Consider the following 14,670-nt stretch of genomic DNA (forward strand, 5'->3'; position numbering starts at 1 on the left):
TGGTAGAACTCAGGCAACACTCGAGCATCCGTTTACCATTGAAGGCGGCTGCATCAGTGGGAATTTCCATGGCTTTTCATCCCAGCATCGAAGCGTGTAGATGTCTGGCCACAGACTCCTTACCTTGTTCGGAAGGAGCCTCTAGGCTTGGAACCGGGGTAACAGTCGGAGGCGCGACGGCAGTCCCTTCTGCGTCTGAGCATTGCGTCAGGTTGCAGTACTCCCACCTGACACCGGGATCCCTCGTATAACAATAAGGAGCTGCCACAGCATCTGGATTCCTGCAGTAGTTCATGATCAAGCCACTGGAAATTCCAAAACGATACACGTCACAAGAGGTGGGACAACATGCAGGGGCACCCCACACTCTCTCCTTTGTGCTGCAACAAGGTCATTACCGGTGCCTTTCTAATATTCCCATTAAAAGTACCATATGATTGCCACCAGCAAAAATGGCTCTCGATCACTAATCCTCTCTGCACATCTCTCATACTTAATAGATTATTACTATTTTTTTTAAATAAAAAATCTAAAGTAGCAAACGCTTCTTAGAAACACTGAGATAACACACACACGTGGCCGAAAAACGATCAGAGTATTCTCCTTCTGCCTTCTGCCCAATCCATCTCTCTGGAATAACTGGTATGGGTTTTGACGTCTGTATTGTGGGATTGTGTATTCACATGCAAATGCATCTGTATCTGTCTAGTCTCCGTATCTCTCTCGGTAGGACTTCATATTCTAATGTGGGAGTTGCAACGAACATGTAGTTCTTCAGAAAACGCACGTCATCCAGGAGGATAGCCGTTCCAGGTCAACCCTCACACTCTATGTACTCAATACGTAGTGAAAAGGCTCTACCTTTCCCACAGAAAAGCATTGTGCAAATAGTATTACTGTCTGTCAGGTTTAGTAGGTTTGTTTCTCCAAGACTTCTCAAAGCTGCCCTGGAAAACTTGCTCCCAGGCAGGATGCAGTATCTCTAGAAGGGGTTCCTAGGCAGGTCCTTCTCTCCTGCTCTCAGTCTACCCTCTGCTGGCCGCAGCTACTCCGGGACTGAGGGAAAGGGGGATGAGTTGAAAGAACAGTGGGACCCATGGCATAAAGGAAGACGGCAGGGTGGACTAAGAGATCTGAAGAGGTCGGACAGCTACGGAGCAGCAGAGAAAAATGCATTAGGGGGCAAAGCAGGCGAGTAGTTTGGGCTGCGGGGATCTTGAAGCATTCGCTCTTCCTTATGCCTCCCAAGAACGTTGCTCCAACCTCCCAGTATCCTCACATTCATGACCTCTGGCTGCCTGAGAAAATGGGAAATGTATTATGGGCCATGGGGTTCCAACACTGTCTCTCTAGAGACTCTAGACTTGTGGCCTAGTCTCAACCCCAGACCCTCCATTCCAGGAAGCTGGTTCAATGAGCAACTGGATGTATAAGAGCCTGAGCTCTTGAAAGACTTCTAGTTCTTCCTTGGCTTCCCTCTTTTGAATGCATGGACTATTCTTATTATACCAAAAACCTCAGAGTTCAAACCTTTGTGATTGCTCTAGGATTTGCAATATCCCTTCGAACCCGCACAGTACCCTTTTATTAATATGACACACCATCGTGCATGAGGTAAAGAAACTTACAACGGTACACTTCGAATTAATCCCTTCGTGATTTATGCTACCATTTCAAATTCTTACCTCTACATATGCTGAAGTTAAATATCTTGCTATCATTTTGTTTCAAGTAGTCAACTCTCATTTACAAAGATATAGAAATTTGATCAAGAAAATATTTTGCATTTACATCTATCTACATTTGCCAATTGCTGGATTCTTCATTACGTGGGCTGCAGAAAGTTCCTTTCTTGTTCAATTCTTCTTCTACCTAATTCCTTCGGGTCACCTCTCTTGTTACATAAGCCTGCTGATTTCCAATTCTTACAGTTTCCGGTTTCTTTCTTTGGGGCAGTGCACAATATGCATTTATCCGACATGGATGACCTTCAAGGCATTTTATTGCTGGATTCAGCATTCCCGGTTGATCTCTTTTTGTTCCTGATTATCATTTTAACAATATTCCCTGGTATCTGGCTTCCAGTGTTTCTGAGGTGAACACATTGGCAATTTGTATCAGTGTACTTGTAGGAAGACACAGCTCTTTTTCCTCCAGTTTCTCGTGACAGGTTTCTTCTTATTATATCTTTGCCTTGTTACCTTCGAACTGTGATGTACAAAAGTACATCATACAGGTTGGGTTTTTTTTCCGAAATTCCCTATGTGATCCCTTGAGTTTCACGATTCTGTGATTTTTTTTAATGTTCTTCGTAATTGAAAAGTTATCAGCCATCCTTGATTCCGGTATTTGTTTCTATTCCAAACTCCCTTGCTCTTTACTGTGACTTGCTTCCCACATGCAGGAAATCTTTTCATATTTTCCTACATGTCTGTGAGGCTCGCTTAATTTTATATTTCACTGTTTCTTCAGGGGTGCGCGTGTCTGTGTGTGTTAGAACTTGTGAGTTTCTGCGTGTGTGTGAGTATGGGTGTGTTTTCAGTTTGTGTGTGTGTGTGTGTGTGTGTGTGTAGCTCATTCTGTAGGTTCTCTAGAATTGTGTGTTGGGTAATGTTTTCCTCTGAAACGTCTAAATTGATCAGCCGGCCATACAGTAATTTTTTTCAATTAAGACATACTTTTTTTATACTACCTCTTTAATTTAATTTGGCTATTCTGTACTGTTAATTTCTCTTGATATGATATCTGCTTTCTTGCATGTTGTTTTTTTAAATATTTGAAATCAGTTATCATACTGATATGTCAAATTTTCACGCAATTCTAATCATTTCTCTCATTCCTGAGCCTGTTTGTATTACCCGATTTATTTCCTGGTCATGGGTCACACGAAACGCTTTTCTACATGTAGTCAGATTTTAAATTTAGGACTCACTCTGCGGATACCGCATAGCTGAGGCAATCGACTTTGTTGTTTACTTCTAAAGAGAGTTGAGATTTCCTCTCACAGGCACTTCATTGATTGGAAACCGATTTGATGCTTGGACACTTGCTTTCCAGCTGTGCAAGGGGTTGTCTGCAGCTGACTTTATTCTAGTAATATACTAAGTGTACCTTTAAATTACGGCTGTTCTGGGGTCTCCACTGAATTGGCAATGTGCTCCGTGAGGACTCTCTGGTCTAGCTGGGAAGAACTCCAGTATCCCAGAGTGCTATGTGATCTCTCTCTTCTTTATTGAGCTTCCTGTGCTCTTGTACTTGCTGTTTCTCAGTAAATGTTCTTTGCCACACTTTCTCGTGGAACCATTTCCTGTGCACAGGCAGCGTCATGTCAGGCCAACGACTGGAGGAGACTTCTATGCGTATTTGTAGAGCTCTTTTCCTCCACACAAACCAGTTCTTATTTCTAGCAGACCTAGAAAAATTTCAGCTACCACAGTCATCCCAAACTCCAATCCCTCTCCTCCATTCAGCAAGATGGCTACAGTCTGCTTGGGCTCCATCTCCTTGCTATTCAGTGCAGGAAGGGTATCCAGGAAGAAAGCCAAGGCATCTGCGGAGTGGAGCCCATCATTGCCCCTCTCTCAATTCTCTAGGTCCTCTACCATCTGTTGTCCCACATGTAGAAACCATTTTTCCATGTCTCTGGTAGTCGCTTGTGGCCAAAATATTGGCCATTGGGTGGTCAGACCCGGGCTTCTCTCCATCCACCCATCCCTTTTACTTTTCAGCATCCCTCTCTGTGCTGACTCTCATCTGCCTTCCTTCCTTGGATCTTCTCTTGCTGGGAACCTGTATCCCTTCAGGCCACTGGTACTTAGGAACGAGTGTTTTTCTGACAATCGGAATATACGTAGATATAGAAACAGATCAATTCACCTGTCCATAAATAAGCACCTATTCTTTCCTCTTGAACCCAGAGAGAAAAGGCAAACGCAACCTTCCCTTCAGGAAGTGGAAGCCAGAATAACGGAATTCCAACTGGAAAGTCTCCATTGACGTTTAGTTGGTGTTGTGGAAGGGTAATCTAAGTGTCTGGTCCTTTGTCATTCTGACTTTCTTCATAATGTGATCTTCTCACCTCCAGATTTCCCTTCTGCTCAATAGAACTAGGAGGAAGGAGAGGGAGCTTAACATTTCCCTTCTCTCAGACCCTTAGCTCCAAGGCAATCATCCTGAGACATTTTGCTACGCCATCTGCATCTGTCACAAGTTGAGTTCGGAGAACTCAGCTTGAGACACATCTCTTGTAACAGAAACTTCACTTGGCCCTTTCTTCTCTTATGGTAAAGAACAAAGACATACGCATTTGGGTAGTATTCTGGGGTCCGACTATGCGAGTGTGGTGTCATAGATGACCAAGCTTGGCAGGTTCTTCCTGTGACAGTGGTGGAGTATGTGCCTCGATAACTCTGTCCATTACCATGGTAGCACTCCTGCACCCCAGGCCTTTGCTCAGTCGGTGCTGAAATGAAAACACGGGAAATCAAGCTGAGTATCTCTGAGCATAGAGAAACATGTGAAGCCATTTGTGACACAACCAGAAAGGAGTCTATGAGAATTACGACCGTTCTCTTTTCCTTATCCATAGGCAGATGGATGTGAGAAAACCGACCAACAAACAAACACCAAAGCAACAGATTCCTCCCATTCTAGAACTGTAGTAAGTTCTTGGAAATATTTCACCTGACACCTTAGAGAAACACAACAGATCAGATTCCTCATTGGAAAGTGAGCTCACGAGGTAGCACCTTTCTAGGAAACTCTACTGAATCTTCATGCAAACGGCACCGCATTTGGCAATGCGGGCTGCAGGTGGTAATTGGCTGTCGGGGGAAGAGTTTGGGACAGACATGGAAATTTTGCATGTTTCCCTAGACCGTTGATCATGAAAGCCAAGGCCTTTGGCTTCCGGGCCATGGGGCAGAAAACGGTCCTATGTATCTGACTGAAGACAAAGACACTTTGCTTCTCAGGGATGTGTGCACGCCAAAAGCTTCTTCCCTTGGAGGAGAGAGGGAATCCTCTCATGCCCTGCATCCTGAATTGTAGTAAAGTAGGAGTCTACTACTCTTTCTCTCTAGACCCCTCACAGGTACAAGTGTCATCAGAAAGAGGTTTAAGAATACTGAGAAATCACTCCCTTCAAAGCCTAGGGCTGAAGAGCCTTAGAGCACTGGGAGCTCATGTACTGCTCCATAGACCCAGGGCCACATGGAATCAATGCAGCCCTCTTAGGTTTCTCGAGGGTGACAGGCTCCAGAGCCACATTTCTCAGAATCTGCAATGCTGAAGATTGCTCTGAATGCTGGCTACTTGAAGAAATCCCCGGAAAAGCTTACTGGCTTGGAAAGAGTGACACACCTGACAGCATGTTACAATAAAAATTTTGGCTGGGACACTGAGGTAGCCCGTTTTACAACAAGGTGAATTTTGAAGTCGATCCCCCTGGAGGGTTTGTGCCCATCCTAAAGACAAAGCCCAACCACGTTGCACCAGAAATCACTCCGCTGGCTCCCCCAGAGAGTGCACGGAGGCTTCCTCCTACATGGTAGAACTCAGGCAACACTCGAGCATCCGTTTACCATTGAAGGCGGCTGCATCAGTGGGAATTTCCATGGCTTTTCATCCCAGCATCGAAGCGTGTAGATGTCTGGCCACAGACTCCTTACCTTGTTCGGAAGGAGCCTCTAGGCTTGGAACCGGGGTAACAGTCGGAGGCGCGACGGCAGTCCCTTCTGCGTCTGAGCATTGCGTCAGGTTGCAGTACTCCCACCTGACACCGGGATCCCTCGTATAACAATAAGGAGCTGCCACAGCATCTGGATTCCTGCAGTAGTTCATGATCAAGCCACTGGAAATTCCAAAACGATACACGTCACAAGAGGTGGGACAACATGCAGGGGCACCCCACACTCTCTCCTTTGTGCTGCAACAAGGTCATTACCGGTGCCTTTCTAATATTCCCATTAAAAGTACCATATGATTGCCACCAGCAAAAATGGCTCTCGATCACTAATCCTCTCTGCACATCTCTCATACTTAATAGATTATTACTATTTTTTTTAAATAAAAAATCTAAAGTAGCAAACGCTTCTTAGAAACACTGAGATAACACACACACGTGGCCGAAAAACGATCAGAGTATTCTCCTTCTGCCTTCTGCCCAATCCATCTCTCTGGAATAACTGGTATGGGTTTTGACGTCTGTATTGTGGGATTGTGTATTCACATGCAAATGCATCTGTATCTGTCTAGTCTCCGTATCTCTCTCGGTAGGACTTCATATTCTAATGTGGGAGTTGCAACGAACATGTAGTTCTTCAGAAAACACACGTCATCCAGGAGGATAGCCGTTCCAGGTCAACCCTCACACTCTATGTACTCAATACGTAGTGAAAAGGCTCTACCTTTCCCACAGAAAAGCATTGTGCAAATAGTATTACTGTCTGTCAGGTTTAGTAGGTTTGTTTCTCCAAGACTTCTCAAAGCTGCCCTGGAAAACTTGCTCCCAGGCAGGATGCAGTATCTCTAGAAGGGGTTCCTAGGCAGGTCCTTCTCTCCTGCTCTCAGTCTACCCTCTGCTGGCCGCAGCTACTCCGGGACTGAGGGAAAGGGGGATGAGTTGAAAGAACAGTGGGACCCATGGCATAAAGGAAGACGGCAGGGTGGACTAAGAGATCTGAAGAGGTCGGACAGCTACGGAGCAGCAGAGAAAAATGCATTAGGGGGCAAAGCAGGCGAGTAGTTTGGGCTGCGGGGATCTTGAAGCATTCGCTCTTCCTTATGCCTCCCAAGAACGTTGCTCCAACCTCCCAGTATCCTCACATTCATGACCTCTGGCTGCCTGAGAAAATGGGAAATGTATTATGGGCCATGGGGTTCCAACACTGTCTCTCTAGAGACTCTAGACTTGTGGCCTAGTCTCAACCCCAGACCCTCCATTCCAGGAAGCTGGTTCAATGAGCAACTGGATGTATAAGAGCCTGAGCTCTTGAAAGACTTCTAGTTCTTCCTTGGCTTCCCTCTTTTGAATGCATGGACTATTCTTATTATACCAAAAACCTCAGAGTTCAAACCTTTGTGATTGCTCTAGGATTTGCAATATCCCTTCGAACCCGCACAGTACCCTTTTATTAATATGACACACCATCGTGCATGAGGTAAAGAAACTTACAACGGTACACTTCGAATTAATCCCTTCGTGATTTATGCTACCATTTCAAATTCTTACCTCTACATATGCTGAAGTTAAATATCTTGCTATCATTTTGTTTCAAGTAGTCAACTCTCATTTACAAAGATATAGAAATTTGATCAAGAAAATATTTTGCATTTACATCTATCTACATTTGCCAATTGCTGGATTCTTCATTACGTGGGCTGCAGAAAGTTCCTTTCTTGTTCAATTCTTCTTCTACCTAATTCCTTCGGGTCACCTCTCTTGTTACATAAGCCTGCTGATTTCCAATTCTTACAGTTTCCGGTTTCTTTCTTTGGGGCAGTGCACAATATGCATTTATCCGACATGGATGATCTTCAAGGCATTTTATTGCTGGATTCAGCATTCCCGGTTGATCTCTTTTTGTTCCTGATTATCATTTTAACAATATTCCCTGGTATCTGGCTTCCAGTGTTTCTGAGGTGAACACATTGGCAATTTGTATCAGTGTACTTGTAGGAAGACACAGCTCTTTTTCCTCCAGTTTCTCGTGACAGGTTTCTTCTTATTATATCTTTGCCTTGTTACCTTCGAACTGTGATGTACAAAAGTACATCATACAGGTTGGGTTTTTTTTCCGAAATTCCCTATGTGATCCCTTGAGTTTCACGATTCTGTGATTTTTTTTAATGTTCTTCGTAATTGAAAAGTTATCAGCCATCCTTGATTCTGGTATTTGTTTCTATTCCAAACTCCCTTGCTCTTTACTGTGACTTGCTTCCCACATGCAGGAAATCTTTTCATATTTTCCTACATGTCTGTGAGGCTCGCTTAATTTTATATTTCACTGTTTCTTCAGGGGTGCGCGTGTCTGTGTGTGTTAGAACTTGTGAGTTTCTGCGTGTGTGTGAGTATGGGTGTGTTTTCAGTTTGTGTGTGTGTGTGTGTGTGTGTGTGTAGCTCATTCTGTAGGTTCTCTAGAATTGTGTGTTGGGTAATGTTTTCCTCTGAAACGTCTAAATTGATCAGCCGGCCATACAGTAATTTTTTTCAATTAAGACATACTTTTTTTATACTAGCTCTTTAATTTAATTTGGCTATTCTGTACTGTTAATTTCTCTTGATATGATATCTGCTTTCTTGCATGTTGTTTTTTTAAATATTTGAAATCAGTTATCATACTGATATTTCAAATTTTCACGCAATTCTAATCATTTCTCTCATTCCTGAGCCTGTTTGTATTACCCGATTTATTTCCTGGTCATGGGTCACACGAAACGCTTTTCTACATGTAGTCAGATTTTAAATTTAGGACTCACTCTGCGGATACCGCATAGCTGAGGCAATCGACTTTGTTGTTTACTTCTAAAGAGAGTTGAGATTTCCTCTCACAGGCACTTCATTGATTGGAAACCGATTTGATGCTTGGACACTTGCTTTCCAGCTGTGCAAGGGGTTGTCTGCAGCTGACTTTATTCTAGTAATATACTAAGTGTACCTTTAAATTACGGCTGTTCTGGGGTCTCCACTGAATTGGCAATGTGCTCCGTGAGGACTCTCTGGTCTAGCTGGGAAGAACTCCAGTATCCCAGAGTGCTATGTGATCTCTCTCTTCTTTATTGAGCTTCCTGTGCTCTTGTACTTGCTGTTTCTCAGTAAATGTTCTTTGCCACACTTTCTCGTGGAACCATTTCCTGTGCACAGGCAGCGTCATGTCAGGCCAACGACTGGAGGAGACTTCTATGCGTATTTGTAGAGCTCTTTTCCTCCACAAACCAGTTCTTATTTCTAGCAGACCTAGAAAAATTTCAGCTACCACAGTCATCCCAAACTCCAATCCCTCTCCTCCATTCAGCAAGATGGCTACAGTCTGCTTGGGCTCCATCTCCTTGCTATTCAGTGCAGGAAGGGTATCCAGGAAGAAAGCCAAGGCATCTGCGGAGTGGAGCCCATCATTGCCCCTCTCTCAATTCTCTAGGTCCTCTACCATCTGTTGTCCCACATGTAGAAACCATTTTTCCATGTCTCTGGTAGTCGCTTGTGGCCAAAATATTGGCCATTGGGTGGTCAGACCCGGGCTTCTCTCCATCCACCCATCCCTTTTACTTTTCAGCATCCCTCTCTGTGCTGACTCTCATCTGCCTTCCTTCCTTGGATCTTCTCTTGCTGGGAACCTGTATCCCTTCAGGCCACTGGTACTTAGGAACGAGTGTTTTTCTGACAATCGGAATATACGTAGATATAGAAACAGATCAATTCACCTGTCCATAAATAAGCACCTATTCTTTCCTCTTGAACCCAGAGAGAAAAGGCAAACGCAACCTTCCCTTCAGGAAGTGGAAGCCAGAATAACGGAATTCCAACTGGAAAGTCTCCATTGACGTTTAGTTGGTGTTGTGGAAGGGTAATCTAAGTGTCTGGTCCTTTGTCATTCTGACTTTCTTCATAATGTGATCTCCTCACCTCCAGATTTCCCTTCTGCTCAATAGAACTAGGAGGAAGGAGAGGGAGCTTAACATTTCCCTTCTCTCAGACCCTTAGCTCCAAGGCAATCATCCTGAGACATTTTGCTACGCCATCTGCATCTGTCACAAGTTGAGTTCGGAGAACTCAGCTTGAGACACATCTCTTGTAACAGAAACTTCACTTGGCCCTTTCTTCTCTTATGGTAAAGAACAAAGACATACGCATTTGGGTAGTATTCTGGGGTCCGACTATGCGAGTGTGGTGTCATAGATGACCAAGCTTGGCAGGTTCTTCCTGTGACAGTGGTGGAGTATGTGCCTCGATAACTCTGTCCATTACCATGGTAGCACTCCTGCACCCCAGGCCTTTGCTCAGTCGGTGCTGAAATGAAAACACGGGAAATCAAGCTGAGTATCTCTGAGCATAGAGAAACATGTGAAGCCATTTGTGACACAACCAGAAAGGAGTCTATGAGAATTACGACCGTTCTCTTTTCCTTATCCATAGGCAGATGGATGTGAGAAAACCGACCAACAAACAAACACCAAAGCAACAGATTCCTCCCATTCTAGAACTGTAGTAAGTTCTTGGAAATATTTCACCTGACACCTTAGAGAAACACAACAGATCAGATTCCTCATTGGAAAGTGAGCTCACGAGGTAGCACCTTTCTAGGAAACTCTACTGAATCTTCATGCAAACGGCACCGCATTTGGCAATGCGGGCTGCAGGTGGTAATTGGCTGTCGGGGGCAGAGTTTGGGACAGACATGGAAATTTTGCATGTTTCCCTAGACCGTTGATCATGAAAGCCAAGGCCTTTGGCTTCCGGGCCATGGGGCAGAAAACGGTCCTATGTATCTGACTGAAGACAAAGACACTTTGCTTCTCAGGGATGTGTGCACGCCAAAAGCTTCTTCCCTTGGAGGAGAGAGGGAATCCTCTCATGCCCTGCATCCTGAATTGTAGTAAAGTAGGAGTCTACTACTCTTTCTCTCTAGACCCCTCACAGGTACAAGTGTCATCAGAAAGAGGTTTAAGAATACTGAGAAATCACTCCCTTCAAAGCCTAGGGCTGAAGAGCCTTAGAGCACTGGGAGCTCATGTACTGCTCCATAGACCCAGGGCCACATGGAATCAATGCAGCCCTCTTAGGTTTCTCGAGGGTGACAGGCTCCAGAGCCACATTTCTCAGAATCTGCAATGCTGAAGATTGCTCTGAATGCTGGCTACTTGAAGAAATCCCCGGAAAAGCTTACTGGCTTGGAAAGAGTGACACACCTGACAGCATGTTACAATAAAAATTTTGGCTGGGACACTGAGGTAGCCCGTTTTACAACAAGGTGAATTTTGAAGTCGATCCCCCTGGAGGGTTTGTGCCCATCCTAAAGACAAAGCCCAACCACGTTGCACCAGAAATCACTCCGCTGGCTCCCCCAGAGAGTGCACGGAGGCTTCCTCCTACATGGTAGAACTCAGGCAACACTCGAGCATCCGTTTACCATTGAAGGCGGCTGCATCAGTGGGAATTTCCATGGCTTTTCATCCCAGCATCGAAGCGTGTAGATGTCTGGCCACAGACTCCTTACCTTGTTCGGAAGGAGCCTCTAGGCTTGGAACCGGGGTAACAGTCGGAGGCGCGACGGCAGTCCCTTCTGCGTCTGAGCATTGCGTCAGGTTGCAGTACTCCCACCTGACACCGGGATCCCTCGTATAACAATAAGGAGCTGCCACAGCATCTGGATTCCTGCAGTAGTTCATGATCAAGCCACTGGAAATTCCAAAACGATACACGTCACAAGAGGTGGGACAACATGCAGGGGCACCCCACACTCTCTCCTTTGTGCTGCAACAAGGTCATTACCGGTGCCTTTCTAATATTCCCATTAAAAGTACCATATGATTGCCACCAGCAAAAATGGCTCTCGATCACTAATCCTCTCTGCACATCTCTCATACTTAATAGATTATTACTATTTTTTTTAAATAAAAAATCTAAAGTAGCAAACGCTTCTTAGAAACACTGAGATAACACACACACGTGGCCGAAAAACGATCAGAGTATTCTCCTTCTGCCTTCTGCCCAATCCATCTCTCTGGAATAACTGGTATGGGTTTTGACGTCTGTATTGTGGGATTGTGTATTCACATGCAAATGCATCTGTATCTGTCTAGTCTCCGTATCTCTCTCGGTAGGACTTCATATTCTAATGTGGGAGTTGCAACGAACATGTAGTTCTTCAGAAAACGCACGTCATCCAGGAGGATAGCCGTTCCAGGTCAACCCTCACACTCTATGTACTCAATACGTAGTGAAAAGGCTCTACCTTTCCCACAGAAAAGCATTGTGCAAATAGTATTACTGTCTGTCAGGTTTAGTAGGTTTGTTTCTCCAAGACTTCTCAAAGCTGCCCTGGAAAACTTGCTCCCAGGCAGGATGCAGTATCTCTAGAAGGGGTTCCTAGGCAGGTCCTTCTCTCCTGCTCTCAGTCTACCCTCTGCTGGCCGCAGCTACTCCGGGACTGAGGGAAAGGGGGATGAGTTGAAAGAACAATGGGACCCATGGCATAAAGGAAGACGGCAGGGTGGACTAAGAGATCTGAAGAGGTCGGACAGCTACGGAGCAGCAGAGAAAAATGCATTAGGGGGCAAAGCAGGCGAGTAGTTTGGGCTGCGGGGATCTTGAAGCATTCGCTCTTCCTTATGCCTCCCAAGAACGTTGCTCCAACCTCCCAGTATCCTCACATTCATGACCTCTGGCTGCCTGAGAAAATGGGAAATGTATTATGGGCCATGGGGTTCCAACACTGTCTCTCTAGAGACTCTAGACTTGTGGCCTAGTCTCAACCCCAGACCCTCCATTCCAGGAAGCTGGTTCAATGAGCAACTGGATGTATAAGAGCCTGAGCTCTTGAAAGACTTCTAGTTCTTCCTTGGCTTCCCTCTTTTGAATGCATGGACTATTCTTATTATACCAAAAACCTCAGAGTTCAAACCTTTGTGATTGCTCTAGGATTTGCAATATCCCTTCGAACCCGCACAGTACCCTTTTATTAATATGACACACCATCGTGCATGAGGTAAAGAAACTTACAACGGTACACTTCGAATTAATCCCTTCGTGATTTATGCTACCATTTCAAATTCTTACCTCTACATATGCTGAAGTTAAATATCTTGCTATCATTTTGTTTCAAGTAGTCAACTCTCATTTACAAAGATATAGAAATTTGATCAAGAAAATATTTTGCATTTACATCTATCTACATTTGCCAATTGCTGGATTCTTCATTACGTGGGCTGCAGAAAGTTCCTTTCTTGTTCAATTCTTCTTCTACCTAATTCCTTCGGGTCACCTCTCTTGTTACATAAGCCTGCTGATTTCCAATTCTGACAGTTTCCGGTTTCTTTCTTTGGGGCAGTGCACAATATGCATTTATCCGACATGGATGATCTTCAAGGCATTTTATTGCTGGATTCAGCATTCCCGGTTGATCTCTTTTTGTTCCTGATTATCATTTTAACAATATTCCCTGGTATCTGGCTTCCAGTGTTTCTGAGGTGAACACATTGGCAATTTGTATCAGTGTACTTGTAGGAAGACACAGCTCTTTTTCCTCCAGTTTCTCGTGACAGGTTTCTTCTTATTATATCTTTGCCTTGTTACCTTCGAACTGTGATGTACAAAAGTACATCATACAGGTTGGGTTTTTTTTCCGAAATTCCCTATATGATCCCTTGAGTTTCACGATTCTGTGATTTTTTTTAATGTTCTTCGTAATTGAAAAGTTATCAGCCATCCTTGATTCCGGTATTTGTTTCTATTCCAAACTCCCTTGCTCTTTACTGTGACTTGCTTCCCACATGCAGGAAATCTTTTCATATTTTCCTACATGTCTGTGAGGCTCGCTTAATTTTATATTTCACTGTTTCTTCAGGGGTGCGCGTGTCTGTGTGTGTTAGAACTTGTGAGTTTCTGCGTGTGTGTGAGTATGGGTGTGTTTTCAGTGTGTGTGTGTGTGTGTGTGTGTGTGTGTGTAGCTCATTCTGTAGGTTCTCTAGAATTGTGTGTTGGGTAATGTTTTCCTCTGAAACGTCTAATTTGATCAGCCGGCCATACAGTAATTTTTTTCAATTAAGACATACTTTTTTTATACTAGCTCTTTAATTTAATTTGGCTATTCTGTACTGTTAATTTCTCTTGATATGATATCTGCTTTCTTGCATGTTGTTTTTTTAAATATTTGAAATCAGTTATCATACTGATATGTCAAATTTTCACGCAATTCTAATCATTTCTCTCATTCCTGAGCCTGTTTGTATTACCCGATTTATTTCCTGGTCATGGGTCACACGAAACGCTTTTCTACATGTAGTCAGATTTTAAATTTAGGACTCACTCTGCGGATACCGCATAGCTGAGGCAATCGACTTTGTTGTTTACTTCTAAAGAGAGTTGAGATTTCCTCCCACAGGCACTTCATTGATTGGAAACCGATTTGATGCTTGGACACTTGCTTTCCAGCTGTGCAAGGGGTTGTCTGCAGCTGACTTTATTCTAGTAATATACTAAGTGTACCTTTAAATTACGGCTGTTCTGGGGTCTCCACTGAATTGGCAATGTGCTCCGTGAGGACTCTCTGGTCTAGCTGGGAAGAACTCCAGTATCCCAGAGTGCTATGTGATCTCTCTCTTCTTTATTGAGCTTCCTGTGCTCTTGTACTTGCTGTTTCTCAGTAAATGTTCTTTGCCACACTTTCTCGTGGAACCATTTCCTGTGCACAGGCAGCGTCATGTCAGGCCAACGACTGGAGGAGACTTCTATGCGTATTTGTAGAGCTCTTTTCCTCCACAAACCAGTTCTTATTTCTAGCAGACCTAGAAAAATTTCAGCTACCACAGTCATCCCAAACTCCAATCCCTCTCCTCCATTCAGCAAGATGGCTACAGTCTGCTTGGGCTCCATCTCCTTGCTATTCAGTGCAGGAAGGGTATCCAGGAAGAAAGCCAAGGCATCTGCGGAGTGGAGCCCATCATTGCCCCTCT

At 44.3% G+C, this 14,670-nt stretch overlaps 1 protein-coding gene across 1 annotated transcript in view; it reads right to left on the bottom strand.

Annotated features, from left to right (window-relative positions):
* LPA (lipoprotein(a)) overlaps positions 1-14,670 on the bottom strand; it is a 132,794-nt gene that overhangs the window by 86,879 nt on the left and 31,245 nt on the right. Inside the window, exons 9-13 of the mRNA NM_005577.4 lie at positions 11,214-11,395; positions 9,847-10,006; positions 5,670-5,851; positions 4,303-4,462; positions 124-305 (exon numbers count right to left, since the gene is read on the bottom strand). Coding sequence (NP_005568.2) covers positions 124-305; positions 4,303-4,462; positions 5,670-5,851; positions 9,847-10,006; positions 11,214-11,395 — 866 coding nt within the window. The remainder of the gene's footprint in view (positions 1-123; positions 306-4,302; positions 4,463-5,669; positions 5,852-9,846; positions 10,007-11,213; positions 11,396-14,670) is intronic.

The sequence above is a fragment of the Homo sapiens genome, chromosome 6 (genome assembly GCF_000001405.40).
Source record: "Homo sapiens chromosome 6, GRCh38.p14 Primary Assembly".
Classification (NCBI taxonomy): Eukaryota; Metazoa; Chordata; class Mammalia; order Primates; family Hominidae; genus Homo; species Homo sapiens.